Source organism: Homo sapiens, chromosome 15 (assembly GCF_000001405.40).
Source record: "Homo sapiens chromosome 15, GRCh38.p14 Primary Assembly".
NCBI classification, from domain to species: Eukaryota; Metazoa; Chordata; class Mammalia; order Primates; family Hominidae; genus Homo; species Homo sapiens.
The window spans coordinates 72374930-72395681 of NC_000015.10; the positions used below are offsets into that span (position 1 = coordinate 72374930).

Consider the following 20752-nt stretch of genomic DNA (forward strand, 5'->3'; position numbering starts at 1 on the left):
CTGCTCAAGCCCTTCTTCCTGCCTGGAATACCCTCTTTTCAGTCCCGGCTAATTACATCTACCATCCCATTCCAAGTGGCCGCTGGAAACTCACTTCCTTATGTTCTATGATTTCTTTCACAATTTACACTTTTTTTGTTTTGTTTTGTTTTGTTTGGGGGGGGGGGTTGTTTTTCTGAGAGGGAGTCTTGCTCTGTTGCCCAGGCTGGAGTGCAGTGGCGCGATCTCAGCTCACCACAACCTCCACCTCATGGGTTCAACCGATTCTCCTGCCTCAGCATCCCGAGTAGCTGGGACTACAGGCGCGCGCCGCCACGCCTGGCTAATTTTTTGTGTTTTTGGTAGAGACGGGGTTTCACTATGTTGGCCGGGCTGGTCTCGAACTCCTGACCTCGTGATCCGCCCGCCAAACATTCTATGTGCCAGAAACTTGTATGTAACTTTGCATAGTTCTTGTATTATGTCTCCCCAATTTTGAGTGTTTTCTCTGGTCTCTACTCAGCCCTTGCTCACAGTCTCACTAGGACCCTGGCTAGCTTGAACACGGTCAGAAGGATCACCTTAGATTTCTGCTGGCACAGTATTTTCCATAAATTAATCTCCTGATTGAACCGTAGTCCTATAGTAGTTATCTTTGGATGAAAACCTAATGCAGCTCGAGGAGGAAGTGGAGTGCCTGTGATCAGAGGGCTGGACAAAAGCCCATAGGGCGTCTCTGGAGCCCTGGGGGAACTGTCCCCAGGCAGGCACTCTCAGGGCCCAGGAACAGGGCGGGACAAGTCCGACTCACCTGTGAGGTAAGGACGGGGCCAAGACCCGGAACCGAAAAGCAGGTCACGATAGCGCTGGAAGGCCTCGTCGAGGACTGAGCAGCCGGGCTGCGCGGCCGAGCTGACATCGTACTGGAATTGAAAGTTGTTCGGGTAAAGGACGTAGCGCTGGTCGGAGGTTTGGAAGTTCTGAGGCCAGGGCCAGAGGGCCGTCGCCCGTCCTGCGAACGCTGCCGCCAGCAGCAGCGAAAACCAAAGCCTGGAGCTTGTCATGGCCCGCTGGTCTCCCCTCTCGGAGGGGGCTGGCCACGTGAGACCCTGGTCAGGTGAGCGGCGCCCCCGTGACTTATCGGCGAATCACGTGACCAGAGGCGGCTCTGCGCCTGCGACCCCAGGAGGACCCACACCCTGCCCTTTCACTTCCGGCCTGGACCTGAGGCTCCTGCTACGTGCAGCGGATTGTGCCGGGCGTCGGCAACTGCTCGGCTCGCCAGACTGTTCACGGGCCCAGTAGAGCAGTAAATAACCGGCCACCCCTGCGGCCGTGCCGGCCGTGATGGAACTAGACAGCTCACCCGACTCGAGAAGAACGGGGTGGGGAGGCGAGGACGCAGGGCGACCTGGAGAAGAAAGTTTCCCAGATGGCTCTAGGGTGAATCTTGAATGTTGTGATGCAGCTCGCCAGGCCTACGGGGAGGTAAAGGACTTGCCAGGCTGAAGTAACTTCAGAAGCAGAAAAACGGAGGATTAAAACCACAAGTCGTTGTGATGTGAAATTTCGTGGGGCAAGAAAGGGCCGGAAGTAGGTAGTCTGCACGGCTCTGCTAGAGAGAGGATCACAAGATCACACAAATGTGATCTACTTATGACTGGAAAAAATGTGTACTTTCAGAGCCAGCTTGAGGCATTCCATTGCCTCCAATATGAGCTCTTCCCTTCAAGATTGACTATAAATCTCTTAGTTACAACTCACATCCCCTTTCCCCAGACAAAACCCCACATAGCCCGGTGTGTATTTACTGAAAGCAGTAAGATATTGCTGGGGCTTTGGGTGCAAGATGGAGAGTGCTCAGAGATAATGACAGGGGCCTGGTCCTGCAGGGCCTTACGTAGAAAGTCAAGGAATTTATTCTCTGAGCAATTGAAAATCATCCCGAAAGATCTGCATTTTAGAAATACCATGTTGAGTAGTTGCATAAGAAACCAGTTAGGAGGCCCCTTTTTATTGGAGGTAGAGAATAATGAGAGACTGAACTACAGAAGTGGGGAAGGAAGACAGCTGTAGATCCAAGAAATAGTATCCGGAAGAGAGGCTTGAGAAGTGATCAAGGAGAATTCCACAGTTATCAGAGACCCTGTCTTCCTTGTTCACCACTATATTACCAGAACATAATACAAATAATGCTATTGTTATTGGGTGGCATTATTTGGTTAGTAGGTACTTTTTAAAATTTTTAAATTTAATTTTAGTATTAAAATACATGTAAAGATCAGGAAAATGAACTTTTAAAAATAAAGGGCTTTCACTGGGCATGATAACACATCCCTGTAGTCCCAGCTACTCCCAGCTATTCAGGAGGCTGAGGCGGCAGGATCACTTGAACCAAGGAGTTCAAGTTTAGCCTGGGCAGTATAGTGAAACCCTTTCTCAAAAACAAATAAAGGGCTACTGAAATAATGATAATTTATATTCAGGTCGTAGGTACCTAATTACTAGTTACACATACATGGCTTTGATGGGAAATCAAAGAAACATTCTGACAATACAGAGATTCATCAAGCAATTTGTCTTTGAAAGTTGATTATTCAAAAACAGAGCTTGTAGCAAAAGAAGCAGAAATTAGATCCCACAGTCATCAAGTTTCAGATCCTAAGGCTTGCATTCTTACACCAATTTCTTCTTTGCTTAAATCTTAATTTTCATCAGCATTAATTAAGTGTCTGGGTACTCTGCCAGTCAGGAGAGATGTTACCAAAGGTACAGGATTTGAGAAGTATTGTCAGAAGAGCCAAGTTCATAATCAGGCCCACAGGATCAATAATTTGGGGGAGTGTTTAGAGCAGTTTCAAAGATGAGAGCAGTAGATCAAAGTAGAATTTCAGGACTGAGCACATGCCAAGGCACCCTTTTATGGATATTCAACCTGTACCAGAAGGGAGGAGTCATTTACTTAAAAGAGTTACACAAGATGAAAGAGCTAGATCCAAATAAAGACGCTATAAAAATTACTAATGGGGCTGAGCATGGTGGATTACAGGGATTCAGTTATTTAATTATTACTGAAAGAGCTCTTTTAGACTTAACCAGATTTTTAAACCAAATATTCTTATGCATACATAAAAGTAAGTTACACAAGATAAATTTGTTGATCTTCCAAAATATCCCCCCTTACTATACACTAGAGTGGGGTTTTGGCATAATGGCAGACAAATAGATGGAACGGAATAGAGGGTCCAGGAAAAGAGCCATTTGATTATTACTCCATTTCAATGAAGACACCAATTTAATTTAGTGGGGAAGGCAAGTTATTTTCAATAAAAGGTGATGAAGAAAATAGATATCCCTATGTGGGAAAAATGAACTATGATCCCCTACCTCACAGCATACACAAACTTAATTAAAAATGGATCACAGGCTGGGGATGGTGGCTCACACCTGCAATTCCAGCACTGTGGAAGGCCAAGATGGGAGGATCACTTGAGCCCAGGAGTTCAAGATCAGCATGGGTAATACGAGGAAATCCCATCTCTCTTTATTTTTTTCTTTTTTGAGATGGGGGTGGTTAATGGGTACAAAAAAAGTAGCCTGAATAAGACATACTATTCGAGAGCACAATAGGGTGACTATAGTCAATAATAATTGTATATTTTAAAAGAGTGTAACTGGATTGTTTATAACTCAAAGGATAAATGATTGAGGGTATGGATAACCCCATTCTCCATGATGTGCTTATTTCACATTGGATGCCTATATCAAAACATCTCAGGTACCCCATAAATATATACACCTACTATATACCAAAAAAACTTAAAATTAAAATTAGACTGGGTATGGTAGCTCATGCCTTAATCCCAGCACTTTGGGAGGCTGAGGCGGGTGAATCACTTCAGGTCAGGAGTTTGAGATCAGCCTGGCCAACACGGTGAAACCCCATCTCTACTAAAAATACAAAAATTAGTGTGGTGGCAGGCACCTGTAATCCCAGCTACTTGGGAGGCTGAGGCAGGAGGGTCACTTGAACCTGGGAGGCAGAGGTTGCAGTGAGCCAAGATCACGCTACTGCACTTCAGCCTGGGTGGAGGTTCTGTCTCAAAAAAAATTAAATTTAAATTTAAAAATGAATAAACAGTTTTTAACAATATGAATTATTTAAATTAGTATATATACAACATTGCCATCAATTTGGACAGTAGATGAATATAAAAAATAATAACATACTGTATATAATATTTGATGGTTTTTCTTTTTTTTCTAGTTGTCAAATGATCCTTTATTGAAATATTTTCCTTTGTGCTTAACTAGCTGGGCATTCCACAGCACCACTGTTGATGTCATCTATGATGTCATGAGGGTGCTGGCCATCAACATTACAGCCCACAGACTGGGCAGTCCCCAGGATCTCTTTAATGGTTCCAGAGAGTTCTCTGGCTAAGGATCAGTGCCGCATCTGTTGAGCAATGTTGACGATCTCATCAAAAGTGATATTCCCACTGTGTTTAATGTTTTTCTGTTTCTTTCTCTCTCGGTGGTTCTTTGAGGGCTTTGATGATCAGAGCAGAGGCAGAAGGCACCACCTCAATCTGGGCCTGTCTGTTCTGAGTGGTTAGTTTCACTGTAATCCTCAGGCCCTTCCAGTCACCCGTTGCCTTGGCAATGTCATCACCAACCTTTTTTGGAGACAGACCCAGGGGGCCGATCTTGGGGGCCAGGGCAGAAGTGGCACCGACTTCACCTCCAGTGCACCTCAGGTATACAACTTTGATCTCGTTGGGGTCAAACTTTGGCGGCATGGTGGAGGCAGCTGGTGTCGAATGAACCCGGATTCGGGATGACCGAAGAAAGTTGCACCTTGGCCTCCTCCGAGCCAAAAGCTGAGAGCTATTTTTTCTTTATTAAAGGCAGCTTGTTAAATGAATAAAAACATGATTTAATTTTCATATCTATAGCTTCTAATAAAATTAATTTACATATCAGAAAAATAATTCACTGTCAGACAATGTGTTCAGGTTTTTGGCTCATAAATTAAGGGATCAGAAAGAAGCAGGAAATAAATAATTTGCCTCAGGAAGTCTTTTACAATGGAGGTGAACTTTGAATTGACTCCCAAAGCATGAGTTAGCCAGGCAGGGAAGGGGAGCATAGGCAAAGCACAGAGATGTGAAAGAGATGACATATTGAACAAAGGGTTTATGGGGCTAGCAAAAGAAAATGTGCCACGATTACCTCACTTCCTGGTCCTCTACCATACTCTCTTCTCTCTGCAATGCCTTTCCCACTTTCCAATCCCTCCACCTACTTGAAGGTCTAAACTTATATTTTACCATCCTGGAAATTTCTGACTTCTCAAATCTGGGTAAGATCCCCCTCTGTGATCTCATAACTCTCTGAGTTAATCTCATGTATCTGAAAGTACAGTTGACCCTTGAACAACGTGGGTTTGAACTGCACTAGTCCATCTATACACAGATATTATGCAGCCAAAGGCAGATGGAAAACACAGTGTTCTTGGGATGCAAACCCCATGGATATGGAGGACCATATGCAGGACTTGAGTATGTGCGGAGTATATGCAGATTTTGGTATCCTTGGAAGGTTGGGGACGTGGGGGAGGCGGTTCCTGGAACCAATCCCTTGAGTATACCAGGGTATGGCTCTATTGTTATTGTTTGTCCATTTGTCTGTCTGTTCCACTACAGTAAGAGCTTCTTAAGGGCAGGTTCTGTGTTCACTAGCCCCTGGAACAGTGTCTAGCACACAGTAAATGCTCTTTAGCATGACTTTATTCATTTTAAGAGTATTTCTTGGCCAGGCACGGTGGTTCACGCCTGCAATCCCAGCAGGTTAGGGTCTGAAACTCGTGGGCTCAAGTGACTCTCCCACCTCAGTTTCTCAAAGTGTTGGGATTACAGGCATGAGCCACTGCGCCTGGCCTAGTATTTCTTGAATCTCCTACTGGTGTGCTGAGACAGCCAGCCCCTCAATCCTTGGGGTGGTAGGGCCTGGGGCAGCTAGACATCCTGGCGAGTCACCTGCAGTCAAGAGCAGTCTCTTCCTGTGTGTGCTGTGATGTGTGGAAGGGGAAACATCATCTCCTCTTGGGTACTTTTGTATAGTACCCTCATTATAGCCTCTTTACTTGTCCATGTCCTCCACAGCCCACATGCTGAATGAATGGTACCTTTTTCACAATTGTATCCTTACTGCCTAAGCCAGGACTCTGCACACAGTAAGTGTTCAGCAAGTACTTGTTGAATGAATGCATGAAAGAGGAAGCATTTGTGTTAAATTTTGAAAGAGTTTGAATTTCAATGTGTAAAGGAAAAGAGCAGTCTATAGAGGGGGACCACAATCTAGAAGGATAACTCTATGTAACTTGTTCACTTTAGGATCTCCAGGTTCTGGAAGAGTGCCTGGCACATAGCAGACACTTAATGAATATTTTCTGGATGCATACAATGAAATGGCAAATGAACCTAGGCAGAGATCTCCAAAGCATCTGGAGAGATACCAGGGAAGTAAGCAATTCTGTCTGGCTAGAACAAACAGTGCATGAAGAGAAATACTAACAGAAGGAATGTAAGGAATGTTAGAAAGTAGGTTGAGGCCAGGCGCTGTGGCTCACACCTGTAATCCCAGCACTTTGGGAGGCTGAGGCGGGTGGATCACGAGGTCAGGAGATCGAAACCATCCTGGCTAACATGGTGAAACCCCGTCTCTACTAAAAATACAAAAAATTAGCCGGCCATGGTGGCGGGCGCCTGTAGTCCCAGCTTTTCGGGAGGCTGAGGCAGGAGAATGACGTGAACCCGGGAGGCAGAGGTTGCAGTGAGCCGAGATCGTGCCACTGCACTCCAGCCTGCACTACAGAGCAAGACTCCATCTCAAAAAAAAAAAAAAAAAAAAAAAAAAGAAAGTAGGTTGAAACTGGATTGTAAAGTAAGGAAAGTAGGAAATTGAGTGAGGCACCAGACATATGTTGTCTTATTTATCTCTCACAACAGCTGTGTGAAAATGAGTCTTAGCTACATTGTACAGGTGAGGTAATTGACTCTGAGAATTAAAATAACCTGACCCAAGTCCCATGTAATTGTCAGAACCAATGTTTGGACCCAGGTCTTCTGTCCCAAAGTTCATTTCTTTTTATATCTATCACAGTTCCTTGAAAGCTAGGCTGCAGATTGTATTGAGATTTTACTCTTGAGTCCATGGGAAGCGAGAGAAACTTCTTTAGTTGAGGAACAACAAGGTCAGAGCTAAGATTCACTAAGATTAATCTGTTAACGTATGTAGGAGAGATTGAATGGGAAAGCCAAGTGCAGGGAGATTATCTCTGAGACTGTTAACTAAGAGTTTAACCTGACCATCCTCATGTGCTATGGGACTCAGAAAGTGTAGACTCAAATTCACTTGGGACTGATGGTTTCATTTCTCTTCTCCCACACTAGGTGGCCAGACCAGCAAGACTTAAGCTTTGTTTAACTTGTCAATGTTTACAGAAGTGCAGGTTGCCAAAATTCTCTCTGCACCCTGACTCCCACTCCCTTTTTTAATTTTTTATTTTATTTTTTGAAATGGAGTCTTGCTCTGTTGCCCAGGCCGGAGTGCAGTGGCTCAATCAGCTCACTGCAACCGCCGCTTCCTGGGTTCAAGTGATTCTCCTGCCACAGCATCCTGCATAGCTGGGATTACAGGCGCCCACCACCACCCACGGCTAATTTTTGCATTTTTAGTAGAGACAGGGTTTTGCCATGTTGGCCAGGCTGGTCTCAAACTCCTGACCTCAAGTAATCCACCCACCTCAGCCTCCCAAAGTATGAGGATTACAGACATGAGCCACTGCGCCCGGCCACCTTTATTTTTTATTAAAAAAGTTTTTTTAGAGACAGAATCTCCCTCTGTTGCCCAGGCTGGTGTTCAGTGGTGCAGTGGCACAATCAGCTCACTGCAATCTCAAACTCCTGGGCTCAAGGGATCCTCCCACATCAGCCTCCCAAGTAGCTGGGACTACAGGCACATGCTACCACACCAGGCTAATTTTTAAAGTTTTTGTAGAGATGGGGTCTCCCTATGTTGCCCAGGCTGGTCTCAAACTCCGGGGCTCAAGCGATCCTCCTGCCTCAGGCTTCCAAAGTGCTGCGATTATAGGTGTGCGCCACTGGCCCAGCCATCCTGACACTCTTTAAATCCATTCCATTTCACATGCCTCTGCTTCTCCTTTTTCCTGTTGCCTCCAAGCTCTTCCCTTCCTATTTCTAGATTTACAAAACTCTATCCAATTTATCACTACTGAACATATACAATTTTCTGTAGGGTTTCTAAAAATGTGTCCAGGGCCCAGTGTGGTGGCTCATGCCTGTAATCCCAGCACTTTGGGAGGCTGAGGCAGGAGGATTACTTGAGCCCAGCAGTTCGAGACCAGCCTGAGCAACACAGGGAGACCCCATCTCTACCTCTACCAAAAAGAAAATGTTGTGTCCAGTTTCCCTTCTTTTTTAGCCCAATCCCCTCCTGTCTTCTAGTTTTATAATTATCCTAGTTATCTTATTCAGGTTTACTCACTAAGTCTTAGCAGACTTTCCTAAATCTAGACATACACCCCTTACAATAACTGGCTTTGTCCTATATCCATCCGATCCGAGGCTATAAATAGACCTTTCTTTTCTTTTCTTGTCTGTAGAGACTTGCTGTACTTTTTAAGGATCTTGCTCTGTTGCCCTGGCTGGTCTTGAACTCCTAACCTCAAGCAATCCTCCCTCTTAGGCCTCCCAAAGTGCTGGAATGACAGTTGTGAGCCACCACACCCAGCCAGACTTTCATTTATGGCCTGAATTTTTTACAAAGGTTTTTCTGTGTGTCATAAAACTAGAAAAACTAGAGCCCCAAGGGAACTTTCAACAGATCTGAGCTAAAGGAGTGACAGTGGAAAGGAGGCTGTGGGACAAATGCATGTGGGACAAATGCAATAATATTTCAGATATGGAATAATGGAACTCAGCAGCTAACTGGGTGCTGTGGGAATGGGGACAAAGGAAAGGGGAGAGGAAAAGATGTGAGGGTGTACCAGCTTGGAAAGGAAAAGAGCATGACTTTAGTCATTCGTTTAAGGATTATTTCTTTTTTCTTTCCCTTCTTTCTCTCTTTTTTTTTTTTTTGAGACAGGATCTCTGTTGCCCTGACTGGAGTGCAGTGGCACCATCACAGCTCACTACATTTCCCCACGGAATGATGGTGTACTGGCTCAGTACAAATGGAAGAGCAGATATTGGGAAAAGAGGATGAGCTCTGAGACATGCTTTTTGAGGGATTTTTTTTTGGAGACGGAGTCTTGCTCTGTCGCCCAACCTGGAGTACAGTGGCACAACCTTGGCTCACTGCAACCTCCACCTCTCAGGTTCAAGCGATTCTCCTGTCTCAGCCTCCCAAGTAGCTGAGATTACAGGTGCACGCCACCACGCCTGGCTAATTTTTGTATTTTTAGCAGAGACGGGGTTTCACCACGTTGGCCGAGCTGGTCTTGAACTCCTGACCTCAGGTGATCCACCCACCTCGGCCTCCCAAGATGCTGGGATTACAGGCGTGAGCCACTGCACCTGGCCTGTTTTGAGGGATTTTAACAGACAATTAGGATGTCCAGCAGAGCTGAGATTGGTGGCTCACCAGAGAGCTTTAAGAGTCACCTGCCCAGAGATAACAGTTGAAATCATGAAAATGTATGATATAGTCAAGGGAAAATGGGAAAAGGGAAAGTTAGCTAAAAATTAGAGGTAAAGATGAGAGAGGTTTGTGAGAGACAAGAGAACAGGGGAGAGATGGTGGCTAGTAGAGTAGACTCAGATCAGAGGTGGTGTTGATGAAGGGAAAGGCAAGAAAGGACCTTTTCAAGGTCTCCTCAACATCAGGAGGACATTCAGCCTCTACATCAGGGGTCCCCAGCCCCCGGGCCATGGACTGGTACTGGTCTGTGGTCTATTAGGAACCGGGCCTCACAGCAGGAGGTGATCAGAGGACCAGCGGGAATTACTGCCTGAGCTCCACCTCCTGTCAGATCAGCAGCAGCATTAGATTGTCATTGGAGTGGGAATCCTATTGTGAACTGCATATGTGAGGGATCTAGGTTGCACACTCCTTATGAGAATCTAATGCCTGATGATCTTAGGTGGAACAGTTTCATCCCGAAACCATCCCAACTCATTCTCCCCCTCCCCACCCCCCACCCATTCCATGAAAAACTGTCTTCCACAAAACCAGTTCCTGGTACCAAGAAGGTTGGGGACCGCTGCTCTACACTACTGTCGGAGTTTTATTTATCTAAATTGTATTTCTGATCAAGTCATCTTCCTTCTCCAGAACTTTTAATGGCTATGGAATGCTATCAGGATGAAATCCACTGTTATGATCAGAGCCTTTTGCTTGCAAGGAATAGAGACTTACGTTATTTCGGGAAAACAGAAGTCTATGAAAGGGATATACAGAGCAAACCCAGAAAAGCACAAAACCAAATTTCAAAAAGAGCAGAAGTCAAGGGCCTGGCTACTCTCTCATCTCCCTCTCTCTCTCAGTGTTCTTCTATTCCTCTCAGAACGTCCGATCAGTTTTCCTCTTTGCTTGTCAGCTACTTCAACTGCCTTATAACCTCTATTTCCTCCTGACTGGAGTGTTGCACAAGACATGTAATGGCCACCTCAGCCCTATTCCATCTAATGTTCCAGCTCCAGGGCCCTCTCATTCTCCCATCTATGCCAGTGGTGATCCTACTGTCCTCCAAAGCTCTGTGCAAATCAAGATTGTTCTGATTCCCCCAGTCAGAGTTAATCCCTCCATTGTAATTCCATAGTCTGGGTTCCACAAGTACAGCTCTTACCACAGCCAAACTCGTGTTGTGATTAATTATGCATGTTCAGCACTCCCATGTATCTAGGAAGGCACATGCCATATCTTAGCTCTTTTTTTTTTTTTTTTTTTGAGATGAAGTCTTGCTCTGTCACCCAGGCTGGAGTGCAATGGCACCATATCGGCTTACTGCAACCTCCACCTCCTGGGTTCAAGCGATTCTCCTGCCTCAGCCTCCTGAGTAGCTCGGATTACAGGCACCCGCTACTACACCAGGCTAAGTTTTGTATTTTTAGTAGAGACAGGGTTTCACCATGTTAGTCAGGCTGGCCTCGAACTCCTGACCTCAGGTGATCCACCTGCCTCGGCCTCCCAAAGTGCTGGGATTATAGGCATGAGCCACTGTGCCTGGCCATACCTTAGCTCTTTTAACTGGCTTTATCATACCACTGTAATGGTATACACACACACATATATGTGTGTGTATGTATATATATATATATATATATGCAGTATGTATGCTAATTATAAGCTATTCCTATGAATTTACATATCAGATCCCTTAAAAGGCTGTTTTTTAATCTGTGTGATGATGGTGTTGATTAAAACATATATAAAATTTCTTCCAGATCCATGATTTTATTTTGTTAGAAAAAATTAACACACCTTCAGCAGTCACATTTTAAAATAACATTTAAACTATTATTTTTTCTATAGTGTACTAGGCTGAGAGCCTTAGAGATCTATAGATATAAAATGAAATAGCAACTGTCCTTCATTCTGTCTTCAAGATATTTTTCCCCCAATGAAACTTTAGGGATATTTGTATCCATATCTCCATTGCAGGCCAGTAGAATAAGAAGAACAAAACTAATGACTTGCATGCAACTCCTAACACTTGAGGGTTTTAGACCTTTTACAAATAAGGGACAACAGGATTGGACCCATTTTAGGGACACAAAGTTACACTCAAGATAGAAAATGACTCAAGATATACCTTGGAAACCTTGCTAGTGCTAGGCCACACAGGGTGATGCCCTCAGCAACTTTTTTTTTTTTTTTTTGAGGCAGAGTCTTACTCTGTTGCCCAGGCTGGAGTGCAGTGGCACAATCTTGGCTCACTGCAACCTCCACCTCCTGGACTCAAGCAATCCTGCCATCTCACCCTGCCGGTAGCTGGGACTATAGGTGTGCACCACCATACCCAGCTAATTTTTGTATTTTTAATAGAGACAGTCTTTCACTATGTTGGCCAGGCTGGTCTCAAACGCCTGGCCTCAAGTGATCTGCCTACCTTGACCTCCTAAAGCACTAGGATTACAGACATGAGTCACTGCAACTGGCTGTCCTCAGCATCTTTATGAAAATGCATTGAGTAGGCATCAGTTGGGCACAGTGCTGAGAAAGGCACTAACAATAAAAATAAGGAATTAAAAGATTTCTCTCTGGCGTTATAAAGAAGGAAATGCTATTAAAAGAAGGAAAATATGTGATGTGTGTTTTCATCTGTATTAGCATAGACTATGTCTCAAAGCACATATATGCAACCGGTGCCTCTGGAGAGGGATATTGGGTGGGTAAAGCATAAGATGGCAGGGGGACTTCCTGTATATCCTTTTGTGTGTTTCATATTTTGTACTATGTAAATATGTTCCACCTATAACATTTTTTAGTTTTTTAAAAAAGTCTATGTCATTTCCTTTAATTCTCACAATAATGCCTCGAGGAATGTATTGTTAATATCCCCTTTACCATGGCAGCTGTTTGATTAGGGCTCTTCCCACTTTAAGCTTATATCAAGGTTGGCTAAACTCATGGAAAAACATCAGAAGTCCCATCCAGGGTTAGACCAAGAGTCCAGGGCCCCGATATTGGGATTTTTAGATCAAAATTGGACAAATTTATAGGCATATGACAGCTCTATGGGGTTTAAGGCCCTTTTAGTGGGGACTCCTTCTGCCTAGACTATATCCTCCTGCCCCAGGCATCCTGAGAGCTGCTTCAGACTAGGATTATCTTGAGTCTAACCTGGTCCCTTAGACCTCATTCCTAGAGAGGTGATGGTGATACATTTTATGGCAGGGCTGCTCATGTTGACCAAATCCACAAAAATAATCTGAAATCCCCTGAAGGGAGGTGGGACAATGATGAAATGGAGTATATAAATCCTTCACAGAAAGTGATTCAGATCTTATGTTATTTTGCACTGGAATTTCCCAGTGGGCCTTGCTCACTCCTTGCCTTCTTCCCATTCTCTTCCTGCTTGAGTCCTCTATATCTTATTTTCCTTCCTTGACTAATAGCCAGGCTACACCCTCCAGGAACCCCAGAGCACAGATCCCTGTAACATTTCTGTCCTTTGGCCATCCACTAACATTTGGCTTCATAAAATGTTAGTGACATATTACTGTGATACAGGTTTCCAAAACACACAATTCACTGATGCTAGGAGTGGACTCTTCAGTGGTAAGAGCACAGTCTAAATGTCTTACCTCTGTTGGAGTGCCTTTTGGATCTTTCTCTTAGATTCCTTTTTTTTTTTTTTTTTTTTTTTGAGTCGGAGTCCCACTCTGTTGTCCAGGCTAGAGTGCAGTGGCATGATCTTGAGTCACTGCAGCCTCCGCATCCTGGGTTCAAGTGATTCTCATGCCTCAGCCTCCCGAGTAGCTGGAATTACAGGCACACGCCACCAAGCCTGGCTAGTTTTTGTATTTTTAGTAGAGATGGGATTTTGCCATGTTGACCAGACTGGTCTCAAACTCCTGACCTCAGGTGAGGGAACTGAGAACCAGTGAGGTGAAGTGCTGTTCCTCAAGAGTAAGGATAGAATCCTATTTATTGTGGTACTTCCAGCACCTAGCACAGTGCCAGGTACCTAGTGGGTGCTCAATAAATATTTGTCAAATGAAAAAATTTTTTCCTTGTTGTACATAGTATAGTGCTTTGCATGCCAATACATTTTTAAATTGAAATTATTTGATCCAGGTCGAATGCAGCCAAAGGGTGGCAGGGCTGGAAACAGACCACAGATGTGTGGCCATCCTGACAAGGGCTCTCATTACCACACTGGAACTGTGCCTCTGGAAATGCCTACAATCATCTAGCCCCCTTGAGTTTGGAGTTTTTTGTTGGTTTGTTTTGTTTTTTTTGATGGAGTCTTGCTCTGTCGCCCAGGCTGGAGTGCAGTGGTGTGATCTCGGCTCACTGCAATGCTATGTTGCCCAGGCTGCAGTGCAGTGGCACAATCATGGCTCACTGCAGCCTCAACCTCCTGGATTCAAGTGATCCTCCCATCTCAGCCTCCCAAATCACTAGGACCAAAGGTGCACACCACCACACCCAGCTAATTTTTTTTTAAATTTTTAGTAGAAATGAGGTCTCACTATGTTGCCCAGGCTGGCCCCCTTGACATTGAATGCAGTTTAATCATGGAGCTTTCCGTGCCTACATCCTTTTCTTAGCCCACTGCCTTATTCCAGAAAGGAATGATAATTGGATTTGAAGGTGCATGGCCAACTTTCAATTAACCCTAGAACTGGAAAGAAGCAGTGATGCGAATAATCTAAGAGTCACTGTGTTTGGCCAGTGGTGTTCCTCCCCGGTAGTAGCTGACTGACTTATTTTCCTAAAGAAAGTTTGCTTAGGGGAGTATTAAAAATCCATTAACCTTCCTTGAGTTTACATTAGCCAGACAGTGGCAGGAGGCCAGGGGAAAGATAAAGCATTGTTCAGAGCCAATAAGTGAACATACAAGTAACTATGAAGTGATTATAGCTCTAACCATGAAGACAAAGGTCAAAGAAATAGTGATTCTTCCCATTGTGATAAACGATGTTATGTAATATAAGAATGTTCCAAAAATGAGAAAGATTCTTTGCATTCTAGGTGCAAAAGATTAAATACTTGATGTTCTTGTCAGAGATCTTTTAGTTGCAAGGAAGAGAACGCCAAGTAGCTCAAGAGTGAGGAGTTTATCATCTTTACAAGCACCTAGAAGTAAATTTAACTATAGCAATGGTCAAATGGGCTAGAATGCCTTATTAGGAACCAAAGCTACCTGTTGATCTCTCAGGACCCACCCTTCTCTCAACCCTTTTCCTGCATCTGCTTCATTCTCCTGTTATTTCCAATTCGTTCTCTTAGTGTTCCAGTGTTCCCAAAGAGAAAATTTGGTTGGCCCAGCTAGGAAGAGATGTCATTCTTGAGCCAAACATTAAAGACGCATACTGTAGGCTGGGTGTGGTGACTCACGCCTATAATCCGAGCACTTTGGGAGGCCGAGGCAGGTGGATCACTTGAGGTCAGGAGTTTGAGACCAGCCTGGCCAACATGGTGAAACCCTGTCTGTACTAAAAAAAATACAAAAATTAGCCAGGTGTGGTGGTGTGTGCCTGTAGTCCCAGCTACTCTGGAGGCTGAGGCAGGAGAATTGCTTGAACCGGGAAGGCAGAGGTTGCAGTGACCCCAGATCACACCACTGCATTTCAGCCTGGGCAACAGAGCAAGGCTCTGTCTCAAAAAAAAAAAAAAAAAGTTAAAGACACAAACTACAGATAAGAATGGTAGGGTCATCTAATCCATAGACGATCAAAGCTCCGTCTTTGAGCAGGTGCTAGGGAGGGGAACAGATTCACTTAGAAAAGGATATGGGACAGGCAATGACTGTCATTTATTTATTGTAAAAGCAACATGTATTTATTTTGAAAAATTTAAACACCACAATATTGTGTGTAGAAAGTATGACTCTCAGTTCACCAACTCAGCTATGTAGAAATTACAAGTGTTTTCTACAACAAATTAATTTCTAACTTCATGACCCAAGTCCCCAATCTGCTGGGCTACAGGGAAATGTCACCACAGTCCTTCCTGATGTTTACGCATTTCCCAGGGCTTATTTCGCACTCTTGAGCCCTTTATGGTGCCAAGAGGCCATATAGAAGCCTGAAAGATAAAGACTACCATCACTTTAGCACATATATCTGTTTATGTATGTATGACATAGTATGCATGGTTCTTTCTTTTTTTTCTTTTTTTTTTTCTTTTTGAGATGGAGTCTTGCTCTGTCTCCCAGGCGCCCATGCAGTGGCACAATCTCAGCTTACTGCAACCTCTGCCTCCTGGGTTCAAGCCGTTCTTTGCCTCAGCCTCCCGAATAGCTGGGATTACAGGCACCCGCCACCACGCTTGGCTAATTTTTGTATTTTTAGTAGAGATGGGGTTTCACCATGTTGGCCAAGCTGGTCTTGAACTCCTGATCTTGTGATCCACCCACCTTGGCCTTCCAAAGTGGTGGGATTACAGGTGTGAGCCACCACGCCTGGCTGGTTATTTCTATGTATGACCATCGTTTTCTTTTCTTTTCTTCTTTTCTTTCTTTTTATTTGAGACAGGGTCTTGTTCTCTCGCCCAGGCTGGAGTGCAGTGGCGCAATCACTGCTCACTGCAGCCTCGACATCCCAGGCTCAAGTGATCCTCCCACCTCAGCCTCCCAAATAGCTGAGACTATGCCTGGCTAATTTTTGTATTTTTAGCAGAGACAGGGTTTCGCCACGTTGCACAGGCTGGTCTTGAACTTCCATGTTCAAGAGATCTGCTTGCCTTGGCCCCACAAGCTGTTGGGCTTATAGGCATGAGCCATGGCGCCCAGCATATTTTCTCTCTTTCTTTCTGTTTTTTTTTTTTTTTTTTTTTTTTTTGAGATGGAGTTTCGCTCTTGTTGCCCAGGCTGGAGTACAATGGCACGATCTCAGCTCACTGCAAGCTCCGCCTCCCGGGTTCAAGTGATTCTCCTGCCTCAGCCTCCCGAGTAGCTGGGATTACAGGCAAGCGCCACCACGCCCAGCTAATTTTATATTTTTAGTAGAGACGGGGTTTCTCCATGTTGGTCAGGCTGGTCTCAAACTCCCGACCTCAGGTGATCTGCCCACCTCGGCCTCCCAAAGTGCTGGGATTACAAGCATGAGCCACCGTGCCCAGCCCAGCCCCACTATTTTCTATATACACACATTTATAATCCTTCAAAACAAAAAATCAGGGCGTGATGTAACCACTATTTTGTAAATTTTTCAGTTGATAATATATTAGGGGCGTCTTTTCATGTGCACCTATAAAGAGCTAACAGTCTATTTTTATTTCATTTTTATTATTTATCTGTTTGAGACAGGATCTCACTCTGTCACCCAGGCTGGAATGTAGTGGCATAAACACGGCTCATTGAATCCTCGACCTCCCTGGCCCAAGCAATCTTCCCACCTCAGTCCCCCCAGTAGCTGGGACCTCAGACATGCGCCACCACACCTGGCTAACTTTTTTTTTTTTTTTTTTTTTGTAGAGATGGGGTTTCACCATGTTGCCCAGGCTGGTCTTGAACTTCTGGGCTCAAGCGATTTGCCTCCAGCCTCCCAAAGTGCTGGAATTACAGGGGTGAGCCACTGTGCCAGGACTATTTTTTATTTTACCAAGTGGAGAAAAAACTAACAAGAATAGGAACAACCTGAATATTATTGATAATTTTAATGTGATAGATTTAGAATCTTATATTCTACACAAATATATTTAAAACTTTATACTTTACACATTGTTTTTATATTTTATTTATTTTTTATTTTTTTTACACATTGTCTTTAAATGCCTAAAGGACGTTTAGGAAAACTGGCTAAATGACAAATGTTACTAAATTCCAAAAGGAAAAGAGTTCTTGTAGGACATGTTATTTGACCATAATATATTAAAACTAAAAAAAAAAATCTAAACATGTGGATATATTTTTAAAATTCTAGATTATTCTTGGCTTGAGTATATAAACAAATACTCCTAGCAGTATATTAAAGAATAATGTACTATGTTCATAAATACGTTATTAGAGGAATGTAAAATTAGATAAATGTTAAGAAATGTATCAATGAAATTTTTACACTAAATAGATTAAAGAAGAAAAGCCATATTCTAGAGGCTAAGAGGGAATTTGATACAGCCATTCTAAATTTTAAAATCTTGATAAAATAGAAATGGAATGGAACTTCTTTAACACAGAAATGAATACACAAATAGACAAAGACCAATAAAGCCAGTTCCATTAAAGTCAAGAGTAATATAACGATGTCCACCACCCTTAATACTTCATGAGGACTATTCTAAAGGGTCTAATCAATGCAATATGACTTTTTTTTTTTTTTAGATGGAGGCTTGCTCTGTTGCCTAGGCTGGAATGCAGTGGTGTGGTCTTGGCTCACTACAACCTCTGCCCCCCAGGTGCAAGCGTTTCTCCTGCTTCAGCCTCCTGAGTAGCTGGGATTGCAGGTGCATGCCACCACACCCAGCTAATTTTTTTTTGTATTTTTAGTAGAGACAGGGTTTCACCATGTTGGCCAGGCTGGTCTCGAATGCCTGACCTCAAGTGATCCACCTGCCTCGGCCTCCCAAAGTGTTAGATTACAGGCATGAGCCACCGTGCCTGGCCAGTGCAATATGACATATTTTGTAAAGGGAGAAACAGAATGATCATCATTTGCAGATGATAGGATGTTTACCTAGAAAATCTAAGAGAAATTGGCCAATAGAATGATTAGAATTTAAATAATTCAGTCAAATGATCAGATAAAAGGTAAATACATTGAAAAAATAATTTATTCATTAGCAATAACAAATCAGAAAATAAAGTGAAAAAATGTGATTCAGAAAGCAAGTAGGTTAATGTATATAAAGCACCTAGCACAGTTCCTGGTAGATGGGAGGTTATAGAAATAAGCTGTAATAATCTTAGTTATTGATTTTATAGATTTTAGGGATGAAATTACTGAGACAAAAGATGCAAACATTTTTAAGCTTCTTGATTCATATATTCAAATTATTCTTTTTTTTTCTTTTTTTTTTTTTTGAGACAGAGTTTCGCTTTTGTTGCCCAGGCTGGAGTGCGATGGTGTGATCTCAGCTCACTGCAACCTCCACCTCCCAGGATCCAGCAATTCTCCTGCCTCAGCCTCCCAAGTAGCTGGAGTTACAGGCACCTGCCACCATGCCCAGCTAATTTTTATATTTTTAGTAGAGATGGGGTTTTGCCACGTTGATCAGGCTGATCTCAAACTCCTGACCTCAAGGGATCTGCCCGCCTTGGCCTCCCAGAGTGCTGGGATTACAGGTATGAACCACCACATGCGGCCTCTTTTAACTTTTAGTTGAAGTATAACATGCATATAGATACTTTGGGAGGTTGAGGCAGGCAGATCACTTGAGGTCAGGAGTTCAAGCCCAGCCTGGTCAACAGAGTGAAATCTCATCTTTGCTAAAAATACAAAAATTAGCCGGGCATGGTGGCAGGCACCTGTAGTTCCAGCTACTTGGGAGACTGAGGCAGGAGAATTGCTTCAACCTGGGAGGCAGAGGTTGCAGTGAGCCGAGATCACACCACAACTCTCCAGCCTAGGTGACAGAGAAAGACTCTGCCTCAATAAAGAAAAAACAAAACAAAACAAAACAAAAAAACATGCATATAGAAAAATTGTGCATACAGAAAGCTGGTCATCAGTGTACAGATCGAGAATGAAACTTTATAGTACTCCAAGAGCTCTTCGCATGTCTCCTTCCAATACCTAGCCATCTTCCTCCCCAGAGTGTTTCTGACTTCTAACAACACAGATTAGTTTTGCCTGTTTTGCACTTCATATGAATAGAATCATACATGTGTACTCTTTTGTGTTTGGATTCTTTTGCTCAGCATTATATAGAAAAGATTCATCCCTCTTTGCTCAGGTGGTTGTAGATTACTCGTATTGCTGTATAGTATTTCATTGTATAACTAGACTGCAATCTTCCATTCTTCTGTTGATGGGCATTTGGGTAGTTTTGAATTTGGGGCTATTATGGAGTGCTGCTGTGAGCATGCTGATACATGTCCTTTGGGGGCCATATGGAACATTTTGAACCCAGCACTGCTATGGTATCTTGAAGAGCAGTGGCTTTTAGCACATTGGCTTATAGTCTTCTGGGCTATAGATACTGGCATATTCATAGTGGGCCCTGTCAGCAGTGGCAGTGGTATAGCAGCACCCTTAAATGGCTTCATGAGTAGAGGACATTGAAAAGAGGGAACCAGAGCCAAAAAGGGAGAAAAAGATGGACGCTGTATGAAGGACCATGACTGACAGACTGGTTCATGAGCCTATTGAGACAAACCTGGCATGAACTCCAGGCTACTGGCTACTGATAGGGATATAATTTTAAATTATAACCACAACCAATAGAGTTCTAGAGACATCTGAGTTGCCCCCTTTTTAAATTTTTATTTTAAGTTCAGGGGTACATGTGCAGATTTGTTATATAGGTAAACCCATGTCATGGGGGTTTGTTGTACAGATTTCATCACCCAGGTATTAAGCCTAGTACTTATTCGTTATTTGTCCTGACTCTCTCCCTTCTCCCACCCCCCACCCTCCGATAGGCCCCAGTGTCTGTTGTTCCCCTCTATGTGTCCATGTTCCCACTGATAAGTAGGAACATGCAGTATTTGGTTTTCTGTTCCTGCATTAGTTTGCTAAGGATAATGGCCTCCAGCTCCACCCATCTTCCTGCAAAGCACATGATCTTGTTCTTTTTATAGCTGCATAGTATTCCATGGTGGATATGTGCCACATTTTCTTTATCCAGTCTACGATTGGTGGGAATTTATGTTGATTCCATGTCTTTGCTATTGTGAATAGTGCTTCAGTGAACATACATGTGCATGTGTCTCTATGATAGAATGATTTCTATCCCTTTGGGCATATACCCAAAAATGGGATTGCTGGGTCAAATGGTAGTTCTTTCTGTCTTCATGTCTTTGAGGAATCATCACACTGCTTTCCACAATGTTTGAATTAATAATTTACACTCCCATCAACAGTGTATGTGTTCCTTTTTCTCCACAACCTCGCCACAGTCTGTTATTTTTTTGACT

At 43.6% G+C, this 20752-nt stretch overlaps 1 protein-coding gene, 1 long non-coding RNA gene and 1 pseudogene across 4 annotated transcripts in view, besides 5 other annotated features; 1 reads left to right on the forward strand and 2 right to left on the reverse strand.

Moving 5' to 3' along the window:
- HEXA (hexosaminidase subunit alpha) overlaps window positions 1-1085 on the reverse strand; it is a 35091-nt gene extending 34006 nt beyond the window's left edge. For all 3 annotated transcript variants that reach the window (NR_134869.3, NM_000520.6, NM_001318825.2), the window contains exon 1: window positions 791-1085. Coding sequence is in view for 2 of the 3 variants with exons in the window: in NM_000520.6 (NP_000511.2) it covers window positions 791-1043 (253 nt within the window). In the remaining variant the exon portion in view is untranslated. The remainder of the gene's footprint in view (window positions 1-790) is intronic.
- Window positions 321-876: an enhancer, noted in NCBI's record as "H3K27ac-H3K4me1 hESC enhancer chr15:72667591-72668146 (GRCh37/hg19 assembly coordinates)". NCBI's record gives its function as "activates a minimal SCP1, AML or CMV promoter by ChIP-STARR-seq in naive H9 embryonic stem cells {active_cell/tissue: H9 hESC(naive)}" and the evidence as "EXISTENCE:reporter gene assay evidence [ECO:0000049][PMID:30033119]".
- Window positions 877-1433: an enhancer, noted in NCBI's record as "H3K27ac hESC enhancer chr15:72668147-72668703 (GRCh37/hg19 assembly coordinates)". NCBI's record gives its function as "activates a minimal SCP1, AML or CMV promoter by ChIP-STARR-seq in naive H9 embryonic stem cells {active_cell/tissue: H9 hESC(naive)}" and the evidence as "EXISTENCE:reporter gene assay evidence [ECO:0000049][PMID:30033119]".
- Window positions 877-1464: a biological region, named in NCBI's record as "H3K27ac hESC enhancer GRCh37_chr15:72668147-72668703".
- HEXA-AS1 (HEXA antisense RNA 1) lies at window positions 1184-3859 on the forward strand. The gene has a single exon (NR_027262.1). It is a non-coding gene; the product is annotated as an HEXA antisense RNA 1 (long non-coding RNA).
- Window positions 1325-1464: an enhancer, noted in NCBI's record as "active region_9720". NCBI's record gives its function as "activates an Ori minimal core promoter by ATAC-STARR-seq in GM12878 lymphoblastoid cells {active_cell/tissue: GM12878}" and the evidence as "EXISTENCE:reporter gene assay evidence [ECO:0000049][PMID:35858748]".
- Window positions 1795-1844: an enhancer, noted in NCBI's record as "active region_9721". NCBI's record gives its function as "activates an Ori minimal core promoter by ATAC-STARR-seq in GM12878 lymphoblastoid cells {active_cell/tissue: GM12878}" and the evidence as "EXISTENCE:reporter gene assay evidence [ECO:0000049][PMID:35858748]".
- RPL12P35 (ribosomal protein L12 pseudogene 35) lies at window positions 4245-4869 on the reverse strand (annotated as a pseudogene).